Here is a 13,066-nt window from a genome sequence, read left to right as displayed (position 1 = left end):
GGGGCGGCCTTGCCGGTGATGTTCCTTGTGATTTAGGCCAGGTGGGGCATTGTTTTCATAACTGCAGGCAACACTGGGCTGTGAGTTTGTCCTCCATGAGATTCTATTCCATCCAGGGCAGCCATGGCCTGGTGGATTGTTTAGCCTTAGCCATCGCTGACAGAAATCAGGACTTGTACTTGTCAGGTGCTCCCTGAGAAACTACTGTGTGGGCTCAGCACTCCATTCAGCCTCCTCAGACTATAGAGTCCTCATGCCCTGCCATCTGTCACCAGATAATCCCACTGGAATGTGCAGAGCTGATGGAGGACATCTTTGGCCTCAGCTAACGTTTTCCACCGCCATTCTGCCCAGGGGGTTGTGAGGCCTCGTGTAGGGTGGGCAGCTTTCCAAGCCACCAAAATTCACAAAAATGCAAAATCCATACTGACCAGGTGTACATGGACTGCAATGCAAAGCCTCCTGGGAGTCACTCTCAGCTTCTGTACTAACTGTGCAGAATCCTTTAGTAGGGAAGCCACTTTTCCATACCGTCCTGGGGCAGCCAAGTGCTTCACTTCAGCCCCTGTCAGGTGGAGCTTGCTGTGCTCTGTTCGATACATTGTCTGTAGCTTTTTTCTTTTCTTTTCTTTCCTTTTGACGGAGTCTCGCTCTGTCGCCCAGGCTGGAGTGCAGTGGCGTGATCTCGGCTCACTGCAAGCTCCGCCTCCCGGGTTCACGCCATTCTCCTGCCTCAGCCTCCCCGGTAGCTGGGACTATAGGCGCCTGCCACCACGCCCGGCTAATTTCTTTTTGTATTTTTAGTAGAGACGGGGTTTCATCGTGTTAGCCAGGATGGTCTCGATCTCCTGACCTCATGATCCGCCCGCCTTGGCCTCCCAAAGTGCTGGGATTACAGGCGTGAGCCAGCACGCCCGGCCATCGGTAGCTTTTTCATTTGGTTCCCTGGCTAGGTCCTTACGGACAGGCAGGGGCTCCGGGTGAGACAGAGGGTGTCTCCTCCTCCAAATGAGAAATGGCCTCTCCTTCTTGACCCTCCCCTGTTGTCTCTTCTGTTTTTTTGACTTTGCTGTTGGTGACTGGCAAAGGAGAAGGTCAAGTTCCTCACTCTCTCATGGTGGTATTGTGTCGCGTCATCCTCTAGAGGGCGCCAGTCCTCTTCTCCGGGGTCTTCTACGCCTTCTGGTCTCCTCTGATGAAAGAAGATTATATGACCACAAGGTGGCGTAGCACAATAAGGGTTATTATTATTCTATGCCCCGATCATAGACTAGAGTAGACAGCCAGGCTTAATGTGGCTACTATGAATGAGAGACCTACCCTCTGGGCCGTGTCCTGGCGAGAAGCGCGCAAGCCCAACATGGGTCCCCTGGTTTGGATTCAAGAGGACAGCCACCTCCTTTGGAGTCCTGGTTGGGACAGCAATATAAACGTCTTTAGTCACGTGAAGTAACAGTTTTGCCCCACCTCAACAAATTTGGGGTCTTGATATTGCTCCGGAAAGGAACAGAAATGATGTCATCTGTAATAGCAAATTCAAATGCGACAAGAACAGAGGCATGCTAGCTGTTTACAAAAGCGCCTCCCCCAGCTGTGCTTAGGGGATCCACGTCAGCCCGACATCGCTGCTTTATAGCCATGTTCACGTGTCATATGCGTCTCAGGGTACCCAAAATCACAGGGCCAACTCACGGGGCTCCTACCACTCTAGCCAGTCATGGGGTCAGGATAGCCTACCCTCAGTCCAGAGATGTGTACTCCCCCAACCTTTTGTGTTCAGACCCACAGGCCTTATAGCGCCCTGTGCGTGCCCCAGCATTTCCCTGCCTAGTGGGGCTCCAGGCGGGCAGGGTGACCTCCTTCCCCAGGCAGTTCCACACCTGATCCCAAAAGTCAGTTCTAATGAAGTGGATTCATTCAAATACTGGTGTTACTGCTTGGCCAGGCTAGTGAGGCACAGAGAAAACCCACAAATGTAGAGTATGTGACACAGCACAAAGCAGTCCCATGCCAAACTGATGCAATGGCATTCCAAGTTTAGAGTTCCACCGCTTGAGACCATCCAGGATTCTTTTACCAATTATTTGTCCTACTGTCTCCTATCTATTTCATGATTACCAGAAATCCTTCCCTTTTCCTCTTTGTCACTTACAGGGAGTTTGAGCGATTTAGGGCGCTGATGAAGGAAATAAATGACCACAAGGTGGCGTAGCACAATAAGGGTTATGGGGTGATTCTGTGACAGGTTTGCATGAAGTCCCTCACAGCCCGAGCCTGTACAGAGGTTATGGCCACTGGTCAACTATTCGGAAGGGCAGAACGACAAGGGAAGTGCTGGGGCATCAAGACGGGGGCTTATTTGTCTAGGTGATGTCATTCAGCAGCAAAGAGAAAATTCTCTGGGTCAGAGAACTCTGAAGGGCAGCAGCAGCAGCTTTGGGTATTTTATGGCCTGGGGCCTAACTTATCTATTCCCCAAAGATGAAAGATGTAGTACCAGGTTTTCTGGGGTATGTAAAGCAGGAAGACTCTCAGTGGCTAAAAATCTATGTGTTTGGGCTATTTATGAAATATTTGGGTATGTAAAAATTTGTTTGGTGCCAGCAAACTTTTGAGTTAAGGGGTCTCAGCCTGCAGTGAAGAAATAAACAACCTGGGGGTCAAACATAGAGGCCATCTTTGGCTTACTTATATAACAGTAAAGGCATAATTCATTCTATCTGGTCCTTAGAAATTCTGGCATAAAAGTTTAAGGGTAGAGAGTTATAGTAACAAGATAAGGATGCCTACTTTTGTCACTTCTATTAAAGATTGTACTCAAAGTTCTAGCCAGATAAATTTTCAGGCAAAAGAAAGAAATAAGAGATGCCCAAATTAGAAAGAAAGTAAAACTATTTCTATTCCCAGATGGTATGATTTATATATATATAGAAAATCCTAAATAATCTGCAAAAAAAACAACTGTTAGAACTCATAAACAAATCCTGCTAAATGGCAGGATGCAAGATCAACATACAACTATCAATTGCTTTTCTATACACTATCAATGAAAAAGCCAAAATGGAAATTAAGACAACAATTTTGTTTACGATAGGATAAAAAGAATAAAATACTGAGAAATAAAGTTAGCCAAGCAGATGCAAGACCTGTACAAAACATTGCTGAAAGAAAGTAAAGAAGGCCAGGTGTGGTGGCTCACGCCTGTAATCCCAGCACTTTGTGAGGCCGAGGCGGGTGGATAACCTGAGGTCAGGAGTTCAAGACCATCCTGGCCAACATGGTGAAACCCCGTCTCTACTAAAAATACAAAAAAAATTAGCCAGGCATAGTGGCGGTTGCCTGTAATCCCAACTACTCAGGAAGCTAAGGCAGGAGAATTGCTTGAACCTGGGAGGCGGAGGTTACAGTAAGCCAAGATCACGCCACTGCACTCCAGCCTGGGTGACAGAGCAAGACTCCATTAAAAAAAAAAAAAAAGTAAGGAAAACTAGATAAAAGGAAAAACTAAATAAAAAATAAAACTAAATAAAAGGAAAGTGTTCGTGGATAATTAAGGAAAACTTAACATTGTTAAGATGCCAATACTCCCCAAAGCAACCTACAAATTCAATGTAATCTCTAACAAAATCCCAAATCCCTTTTGTGCATAAAGGGGAAAGCTAATCCTAAAATTTATATGGAGTTGCAAGGGTCCCTGGATAGCCAAAACAATCTTGAAAAAGAAGAACAAATTTGGAAGACTCACACTGCCCTATTTCAAAACTTACTGCAAAGGTACAGTAATCAAAACAGTGTGGTGCTGGCACCAGGATAAACATATAGATCAATGGAATAGAATTGAAAGTCCAGAAAAAAAAAACCCATGCAGCTCAAATGATTTTTGATTAGGGTGCCAAGATCATTTAATGGGGAAAGAATAGTCCGTTCAACAGATGCACTGGAAAAATAGATATCCACATGTAAAAGAATGAAGTTGTACCATGACCCCATACCATATATAAAAGTTAACTCAAAATGGATAAAAGACCTAAATACAAGAACTAAAACTGTAAAATAACTAGAAGAAAATGAAGGAATAAATCTTCACGTCTTTGGACTTGGCAATTGTTTCTTAGATATGATACCAAAAGCATAAGTAACAGAAAAAAAATGAATAATTGGACTTAATAAAAATGAAAACTTTTGTGTATCAAATGACATTATCAGGAGAATGAAAAGACAACCCAGAGAATGGGAAAATTATAATCTGATAAGGGTATCCAGAATATATAAAGAACTCTTACAATCTAATAACCAAAAAATCCCCAGTTAACACTGGGCAAAGACTTGAATAGATATTTTTCCAAATAAGATATACATGATATACACATGGCCAATAAGCTCATGAAAAGATTTGTCATTAGTCATCAGGGAAATTCAAATCAAAACCACAATTAGATACCACTTTACATCTGCTAGGATGGCTACAATAAAAACCAACAAAACAACAAGTGTTAGAGAGGATGTGGAGAAATTGGAACCCTAATACACTGCTGGTTGGAAAGTAAAATGGTGCAGCCACTGTAGGAAACAGTTTGGTGGTTCCTCAAAAAGTTAAACACAGAAATACCACATGATCCAGCAATTCCACTCCTAGTTATATACTTAATAAAATGGGAAACAGGTAGGTATTCAAACAAAAACTTACACACCAATGTTCATAGCAGCACTATTCATAATAGCCAAAAGGTAGAAACAGCTCAAATATCTATCAACTGATGAGTGGATAAACCAAATATGGTATAGTATATCCATACAATGGAATATTATTCAGCCACAGAAAGGAATGAAGTACTGTTACTGATTAACCTTGAAGACATTATGCCACGTTAAAGAAGCCGGACACAAAAGACCACAAAGTGTATGATTCTACTTATATGAAATATCCATAATAGGCAAATCTATAGCACCAGAAAGCAGATTAAGTGGTAGCCAGGGGCTGGGGGGAAAGGGGAATAGGGAATGATTGTTTAATGGGGATGAGGTTTCCTTTTGGGGTGGTGAAGACAGCCTGGAATTAAATAGTGGTAATGGTTGCACAATACTGTGAATGTCCTAAATGGCACTGAATTGTGCAATGTAAAATAGTTAAAATAGTAAGTTTCATGTTATGTGTATTTTACCACAATAAAAAGAAAGGTGTTTATATGGGGTACAAGATGCGTGAATGGTGGCCATGAAGCAGAATGAATGAAAGAAAATGGCAGTGTGACTGAATGGCGGGAAATTGGGGGCACCGTGGGAGAGAATACATGTTAATGATTGGTAGAGTGGGAAGGAGTAGGAGCCATGAGGGGCAGAGTGAGCTGGAAGGGGAGTGATGCTGTTACTTTATATCTGAGTGGGTCCTGTGCTCCTGGAAAGCAGTCATGGTTACAAAATTCTCACAGCCCCTGGCTCCCTTTGGGGTTCCAGCAAAGGGCTAACTGCAAAAGTCCCTGGATTACCTGCTTGGGCTGCCATAATAAAATGCCACAGACTGGACGGGTTAAACCAGAAGTTTATTTGGCATAGTTCTGGAGGCTGGGAGAAGTCCAAGATGAAGGGGCCAGCTGATTTGGTTCCTGGTGAGGGTTCTCTATAAAGAAAGCCATAAGGCTTGCAGACAACTGCCTTCTTACTGTGTTTTCACATCACCTCTTTTTTGTGCAAATGGAGAGAGAGTGAGCAAACTCTTGGACGTCTGTTTTTATAAGGGCACTAATCCCATTAGACCAAGGCCCCACCCTCATGACCTCATATAGCCTTAATTACCTCCCAAAGGCCCCATCCTCAAATACCATCACATTGACAGTTTGGGCTTCAACGTATGAATGGGGGGGGGGGGGGGGAAGGGGCGCAATTCAGTCTATAGTAGTCCCTAATGTATTTACACATTCTGAGATAAGACCTATCTCTATCTGTCCTGATTGATGACTCAAGGATGACTCTTTTGCTTACCTGCCTCTATACAACCCGAGGTCTCTTTCCTTGTCTTTGGGATGTTCCTCATTAAGAAAAGTTTTCCCTATTGCAATAAGCTGAAAGGGCTCACCTGTGCATTTTCTTTCAGGTGATCAATTGGTAGAATATGATTAATAGGGGAGAGTGTTTGAGGTCCGGAACCTGATCACTGTCTGTCTCCTGTTTATTCCCCTAGGCCTCAGGGAGGCCTCATAGGACTGGGACCCTGGAATCTCCGCCCTCTCAAATCTCTCTGCAACAGTTTCCCAGGAGGAGGATGGAATGTAGTCCTGGCGGGGTCGCGATCAGATCTGTCTTCTCACCTAGTCTCCGACTAATATTCCACCTCACCTGGGCCCCTTTATCCCTGGGCTTATGTCTCCAACTCTCCCTGCGCCTATGTTTACCAATGTCACTTTCTTCACGTTTCTTTCTCCGTGGGCAGATTGTACCACACCTCCCTATTTGCACCAGTGGTATCTCCCACAACGGACTGTACCAACCTGAGCCTTCGCCACCGCTAGCTTAATAGTATCTATCTCCCTACTGTTATTTTCTTGAGAGGAGTACCAGCTCCACACGTTCTCCCCATCTCCCCACTGATACTGACCGGTGGAGGAATGTATTATCACCGGCTCTGCATCCTTTTTCCCCGGTAATAGGTACCAGGGATGTCCGTACCATTTCAGGCGTCCCCCGTCTCCGCAGTGGTATCTCCCGGCGGAGGGGTCTGTGGTCCTGAACTCAACATTTTTACATACCCGTTCTCTTGAAACCCCCCCAAACACGCCCATAATTTGCCCGTCACTAGCTTTGCACAAAGGGCCCCACTTTTATCGCCAAGTTTTCAAAGTCCTCTCGGAGTTCTATCTTTTCCAAACTTTAAAAGGCATATTACTCTCCTGTACGGAATGGTAAGGGCTGTAAAGATGCCTGCTCCCTTGACAAGCTGGTTTACTGGCACGGCCATTTTTCTTGCCAGCCAAATACGTACAATCATTGCAGTTAAGGAACAAAAAAGTTTTGGTGTTCTATAGCACTGCTTAATAACTATAGTTAGCAATAATTTATTGTACATTTTCAAATACCTAGAAGAGAGGATTTTGAATATTCCCAACGCAAAGAAATGATAAATATTTGAGGTGATGCACATGCTAATTACCCTGATTTGATCATTACACATTGTATGCATGTATTGAAATACCACTCTGCACCCTACAAATATGTACAATTAAAAAAATTTAATCATTAAATTAAAGAAAACCACAGAACAACTTTGGCTGCTAGCACCGACGGCTTTGGGAACGGTACTGCGCATGAGCAAGTATAGTGACTGGCAGTACCTAATTAATGCAGGATAAAGGTCGGAAAAAGGTGGCTGTCAGAGGAAGTTGTGACTGATTTTGGAAACACAAGGGGACCTTGCCTGAATAAGCATTCGGATCTTAACATCAGAGCAGGGTATGAGGCGGGGCAGAGAGTTTACATCGAACGGAAGTGAGAGGGCTGGTGGTCTGCGGACAGAGTCGTCATTTAACCTCTTTGTGCCTTAGTTTCTCTAACTGTAAAATAGGGATGATGATGTTAATGATAATAATAATAATACCTGCCTTGTATGGTTGTTGTGTAGATCAATTGAGTCAATATAAGTGTTTACAACAATGCCTAGCACATACGTAAGTCTTATATATGAGTTTAATATTATTATTATACTATTATTAATACCATAAAATGGATACATATAAACACATAAAATGGAATAGGGAAGTAGAGCAAAACCAAGGCCAGGTTGAAATGTCTATATGTAGATCATAGGATTCTACATAATTATGTTGAGCTACAGTTATTTTTCTGAGCTTCCTAGAAGCCACAACATAGAGGGGGAAAAAAGCTCATTTGCTTTATTTATCTCACCCATACAGAGAAAGTAAGCCACTTCCTCAGAAGCAAAGATTTCTTTGATAAGACAGTTCTCTGATGCGTCAGCCAAGTCCCTTATCAGCAATCTTGTGATAAATACAGAGATAGGATTGCTCTGCTGTGACTTAAAATATGTCTGCATGTCAACCAAAGGTGTCCTGCTAAAGCAGAACTAAAAATATGTGACTCTTCAGGAAATCAAAGCCATGTCTGCACAAATAGCTCTTATGTTCTGGCTCAATATATGGACCTTGATCATCAGGAAGAATCAGTAAACCTCATGCCCTTCAAATTCTTTTCTGATCTATATGTAGTTTTTCCACATCTGGGGTTTCAGAACAGCCTGAGCAACCCAAAGGTCTGCCCTTTTCCTTTTTAGGCTCAGAATTCATGATGTCCCTAAGCATGTTCAGTACTTTCCCTTCTGCCCTTTTTAAGAAAGTCTATATTATTTTGTCATTTTTTTCTCTTCCTACAGAAGTGATTTAGAAGTGGCACACCAAAAATCCAAACTCTTGAGGAATATACAATCTGAAAGGGGGAATTCACTTATAATCTCATATCACCACTCATTCCAAATAACCAATTTCTGATGAATTTGGTTAATTTCCACCTATACACCTCTCTCTCCCCCTTGTTCTTTCTCTTTATATTTACATACACATATAAATATATACGTATGTAAATGTCTTCCTTTTGCTAAAATCTGCTCATTATGTAAAACTGTTTTGCCATTCCATTTGCCCAGAATAGTATTAATAATGGTCATAGTGGTAATGATAATGATAATACAAATGATAATGATAACAAAAGTGACACAACAAGAGCCGACATGTAGTGAGCTCACACTGCACCTGACACCATACTAAGCATTATATATGCATGATCACTTTTAATTCTCACAATGACCTTAGGAAGTAGGTACCATTTTTATCTACCTCTTACAGCTAAGGAAGCTGAGTACCAGAGTGGATAAGCAGATTGCATGGGCTTGCACAGCTGCTCACTGGCATAGCTGGAATAGCCCCTACTTAATGAACACTTGTTGATGGAAGGTATTTCAGTATCAGGACATAGAGATATTTTTAAGAGATGCTTTTTTTTCTTGTATGCATGTACTACGATTTATTAATCAGCCCCATATTGAAGGACTTCTGTGTAATTTCTGCTACAGTGTGGCAGTGATCTCTCTTGTCGTCTTTTTCTTTAACTTTTATTTTAGGTTCAGGGGTACATGTGCAAGTTGGTTATATAGGTAAACTCATGTCACGGGGGTTTGTTGCACAGATTATTTCATCACCAAGGTACTAAACCCAATGGTTATTTTTTTTTTTCATCGTCTCCCTCCTCCCACCCTCCACCTTCAAGTAGGCCCCAGTGTCTGTTGTTCCTCTCTTTGTGTCCATTAGTTCTCATCATTTAGCTCCCACTTATAAGTGAGAACATGCAGTATTTAGTTTTCTGTTCCTGTGTTAGTGTGTTAAGGATAATGGCCTCCAGCTCTATTCATGTTGCTGGCCTCCAGCTCTATTCATGTTGCTGCAAAGGACATGATCTTGTTCTTTTTAAAATTGTTATTATTATTTTTTTGTAGAGACGAGGTCTACAGATGAGGTCTTGTTATGTTGTCCAGGCTGGTCTTGAACTCCTGGGCTCACATGATCCTCCCACCTTGGCCTCTCAAAGTGCTGGGATTACAGGCATGAGCCACTGCACCTGGCCTGATCTCATTCTTTTTGATGGCTGCATAGTATTCCATGGTGTATATGTACCACATTTTCTTTGTCCAGACTACCATTGATGGGCATTTAGGCTGATTCCATGTCTTTGCTATTGTGAATAGTGCTGCAGTGAACATATGCATGCATGCGTCTTTGTGGTAGAACAATTTATATTCCTTTGGCTGTATACCCAGTAATGAGATTGCTGGGTTGAATGGTAATTCTCTCTTTAGCTCTTTGAGGAATTGCCACGCTGCTTTTCACAATGGTTGAGTTAATTTACATTCCCACCAACAGTGTATAAGCATTCCCTTTTCTCTACAACCTCAGCAGTACCTGGTTTTTTTTTTATCTTGTCATCTATCTTTGTACACAGTGGTGAGCATTTCTAGAGTGTCTGGTTCAAAAGGTGGGCACGTTTTGAACTTTCATAGACATTGCCAAATTGCCTTTTGAAAAGTTAGTACAAGTTGACACCCCCCACTAATAATGAATGAAAATACCCTTTCTAATCTTCTTGTCATGGTTTTAATCCTTGCCATTTTTTTTTAAATTTTTTTAGTATTTATTGATCATTCTTGGGTGTTTCTCGGAGAGGGGGATTTGGCAGGGTCATAGGACAATAGTGGAGGGAAGGTCAGCAGATAAACATGTGAACAAAGGTCTCTGGTTTTCCTAGGCAGAGGGCCCTGCCGCCTTCCGCAGTGTTTGTGTCCCTGGGTACTTGAGATTAGGGAGTGGTGATGACTCTTAACGAGTATGCTGCCTTCAAGCATCTGTTTAACAAAGCACATCTTGCACCGCCCTTAATCCATTTAACCGTTTCTGGACATAGCACATGTTTCAGAGAGCACGGGGCTGGGGGTAAGGTTATAGATTAACAGCATCCCAAGGCAGAAGAATTTTTCTTAGTACAGAACAAAATGGAGTCTCCTATGTCTACTTCTTTCTACACAGACACAGTAACAATCTGATTTCTCTTTCTTTTCCCCACATTTCCCCCTTTTCTATTCAACAAAACCGCCATCGTCATCATGGCCCGTTCTCAATGAGCTGTTGGGTACACCTCCCAGACGGGGTGGCAGCTGGGCAGAGGGGCTCCTCACTTCCCAGATGGGGTGGCCGGGCAGAGGCGCCCCCCACCTCCCAGACGGGGCGGCGGCCTGGTGGGGGCTGCCCCCCACCTCCCTGACAGGGCTGCTGGCTGCGCAGGGGCTGACCCCCCCACCTCCTGGACAGGGCGGCTGGCTGGGCAGGGGCTGACCCCCCCACCTCCCTCCCGGACGGGGCGGCTGCCAGGCGGAGATGCTCCTCACTTCCCAGATGGGGCGGCTGCCGGGCGGAGGAGCTCCTCACTTCTCATACTGGGCGGCCAGTCAGAGACGCTCCTCACCTCCCAGACGGGGTGGCGGCGGGGCAGAGACACTCCTCAGTTCCCAGACGGGGTCGCGGCGGGGCAGAGGCACTCTTCACATCTCAGACGGGGCGGCGGGGCAGAGGCGCTCCCCACATCCCAGACGATGGGCGGCCGGGCAGAGACGCTCCTCACTTCCTAGACGGGATGACGGCCGGGAAGAGGCGCTCCTCACTTCCCAGACTGAGCGGCCAGGCAGAGGGGCTCCTCACATCCCAGACGATGGGCGGCCAGGCAGAGATGCTCCTCGCTTCCTAGACGGGGTGGCGGCCAGGCAGAGGCTGCAATCTCGGCACTTTGGGAGGCCAAGGCAGGCAGCTGGGAGGTGGAGTTTGTAGCAAGCCGAGATCACGCCACTGCACTCCAGCCTGGGCAACATTGAGCACTGAGTGAGCGAGACTCCGTCTGCAATCCCGGCACCTCGGGAGGCCGAGGCTGGCAGATCACTCGCGGTTAGGAGCTGGAGACCAGCCCGGCCAACACGGCGAAACCCCGTCTCCACCAAAAAATACGAAAACCAGTCAGGCGTGGCGGTGCGCGCCTGCAATCCCAGGCACTCGGCAGGCTGAGGCAGGAGAATCAGGCAGGGAGGTTGCAGTGAGCCGAGATGGCGGCAGTACAGTCCAGCCTTGGCTCTGCATCAGAGGGAGACCGTGCAAAGGGGAGAGGGAGACGGAGAGGGAGGGGGAGGGGGAGATGGAGAGGGAGAGGGAGAGGGAGAGGGATGAGGGAGAGGGATGAGGGAGAGGGAGATGGAGAGGGAGAGGGAGAGGGAGAGCTAATCCTTGCCATTTGATAGTTGAAAATATCTCATTTCTTTTGTGTGTGTTTGTCAATGAAATTGAGTATCTTTTCATACGTTTTTCTTTTCATATTTCTTTTGTGAATCATTCTTTCCCAAATGCTACTCTTTTTCCTGTGGGATTTTTAAATCTTTCTCTTACTTTTTTTTTTTTTTTTTTTTTTTGAGACGGAGTTTAGCTCTTGTTGCCCAGGCTGGAGTGCAATGGCACGATCTCAGCTCACTACAACCTCCCCCTCCCAGGTTCAAGTGATTCTCCTGCCTCAGCCTACGAAGTAGCTGGGGTTACAGGCATGCGCCACCACACCCAGCTAATATTTTCTGGATTTTTAATAGAGATGGGGTTTCACCACGTTGGCCAGGCTTGTCTTGAACTTCTGACCTCAGGTGATCCACCTGCCTTGGCCTCCCAAAGTGCTGAGATTATAAACGTGAGCCTCACGCCCGGCCTTTTTCCTTTTTTCTTTTTTTCTTTTTTTTTTTTTGTTTGAGACAGAGTCTCGCTCTGTTACCCAGGCTGGAGTGCAGTGGCGCAATCTTGGCTCACTGCAACCTTTGCCTCCGGGTTCAAGCCATTCTCCTGCCTCAGACTACTGAGTAGCTGGGATTATAGGTACGTGCCATCATGCCCTGCTAATTTTTGTATTTTTAGTAGAGACGGGGTTTCACCATGTTGGCCAGGCTGGTTTCGAACTCCTGGCCTCATGTGATCCACCTGCCTCAGCCTCCCAAAGTGCTGGGATTACAGGCATGAGCCACTGTGCCCGGCCCTCTTACTGTTTTTTAAAACCTTGTATGGAAAACTAACTTAGTTAAAAATGTTTTGGGTCAGACCTTTTATTGAAGCAGAACATACAGAGAAAAGTGTATAAAGTATATGGTTTAATGAACTTCTGCCAAGTGAAAACACCTTTGTAACCCATACCTGTATCAAAAAGCAGGAAATGACAAGCCACCCAGAAGCCTTCATCATGCCACTTCCAATCACTATCTCTTGATTCACAGCTAACGACTTTCTGATTTCTATCACCATAGATTATTTTTGCCAGTTCTTGAATGTCATATAAATGGAATTATACATTATTATTCTTTTGGGTCTGGCTTCTTTTACTTACCATAATGTTTTTGAGATCCATCCTTGTTACCTTATGTGTCAGTAGTTTGTTCTTTTTCCATACTATTCACTATTCCTTTTGTATAAATATAACACACTTGTTAATCCATTCC

At 44.6% G+C, this 13,066-nt stretch overlaps 1 annotated feature.

Annotated features, from left to right (window-relative positions):
* Nucleotides 6,897–6,946: a silencer, noted in NCBI's record as "silent region_20813". NCBI's record gives its function as "represses an Ori minimal core promoter by ATAC-STARR-seq in GM12878 lymphoblastoid cells {active_cell/tissue: GM12878}" and the evidence as "EXISTENCE:reporter gene assay evidence [ECO:0000049][PMID:35858748]".

The sequence above is a fragment of the Homo sapiens genome, chromosome X, assembly GCF_000001405.40.
Source record: "Homo sapiens chromosome X, GRCh38.p14 Primary Assembly".
Lineage (NCBI taxonomy): Eukaryota > Metazoa > Chordata > Mammalia > Primates > Hominidae > Homo > Homo sapiens.
The sequence above is the reverse complement of the archived record's forward strand: the minus strand, read 5'-3'. Positions and strand labels throughout refer to the sequence as shown.